The sequence below is a fragment of the Homo sapiens genome, chromosome 2 (assembly GCF_000001405.40).
Source record: "Homo sapiens chromosome 2, GRCh38.p14 Primary Assembly".
Lineage (NCBI taxonomy): Eukaryota > Metazoa > Chordata > Mammalia > Primates > Hominidae > Homo > Homo sapiens.
This window is the reverse complement of record NC_000002.12, coordinates 29939880-29941242: the sequence shown is the minus strand read 5'-3', so window position 1 is coordinate 29941242 and position 1363 is coordinate 29939880.

The following is a 1363-nucleotide window of genomic DNA, read 5'->3' as shown; positions in this document are numbered from 1 at the left end:
GCCCTTTGGCCATATTGAAACCTGATTTGGAAATATTTAAGACTGCAAAAAGTTCCCAAAAATTTTCAGAAAGAAAGCTGCTTACCTTTCCCTCCATGTTGCTGGGCTTATTGTTTTGTTTGTTTTGTCTGGGTGGTTCTCTGGCCCTGCCTCCCCGAAGCTCATTCTGTGGGTCAGATGAGAGGAGTTTGCTGTTCTCTGCCCCTCAGTGACAGCTGTTTTTTTTTTTTTTTTTTTTTTTTTGCTGCGTTTTTCTTTGAAATCGCTGACTTTGGAAACTTTAGGCCTGCTTAATCTCCAGTCTGTGTTCCCTTGGCTGCAGCCAGCCCTGAATCCAGGCTCTGTGCGGAGCAGAGGGAGTCTCTGGCTCCTTACTTCTCTACACTGCTTCCGTTCCCCTCAAGGTCAGCCAAAGGGCTCAGACAAGAAGAAAAGATGATGTCAGTGTTCTCTCTTCCAGTTTCCACATTCAAGAACTTTATGAAACTCATTCTTTTAATCTTTATTCACATTCCACCTTGCCTCAGCTTGGTACCATGTGGCCTCGTGAGTAACTTTCTTCTTCTTTCATCTTCTAGGTCATTCATAAGGATGTTAATCATTTAGAAGGATGGGAGTTTTCCCTACCTAGAGAATGCTTTTTCCTGAACTCATTGAAAGTCTCTTTGATTTGCCCAAGAACTAAGAAAATAAGTAACATATTTATAAGCTCTGGGTGTTATATCAAAATCCCCACATTGTAGAGAGGTCTGCTGGCTGCTCCCATTGGCAGAGTAGGTGGTTGCTTATACAGTGTCTTTTAAAAGTTTGCTAGAAAAGCCTTCCTAAATCTAAAGATATTGCCTTGGATTCTGCATTACAGATATACAGCTTAGTGTTAAGCATTGGCCTCTTAGTGCAATATGGGTGAGAATATCTTTTAAAATAATACTCCTGGAGTGGCTATCAGCTAGAATTGTGTCTGACTAGAATAACAGAGGCTAGATTGAATTTCCTCAGGTATAGCAGATGCTGTTAGTATCCCACCCATACCTGTCAATAAGGTTCTTATTGCTACTGCAAATACCCCCAATCACAGTCATAGGGTTGTTTTGGGGTAGGGGAGCATGCTTGGCCTGTGTGCTGGGCAAGCCAGAGTACTGAAGAATTAAAGCCCTACAGAAGCAGCCCTCTTCCAAGGACAGGTGGGATTGAGTGGATACATACCCCAGCCTCTTCTCCCCTTGGTTAGATAATCCTGGCATTGTTCTACACTGTCTCCCAGACTTCCCCAGGGATTAAGCTCCAGGTTCCCACTGTGCCATTGGCTTGGCGACACACTGCTACTGGCTCCCTTTGCTTCCCTGTGTCACTTCCCATCCCT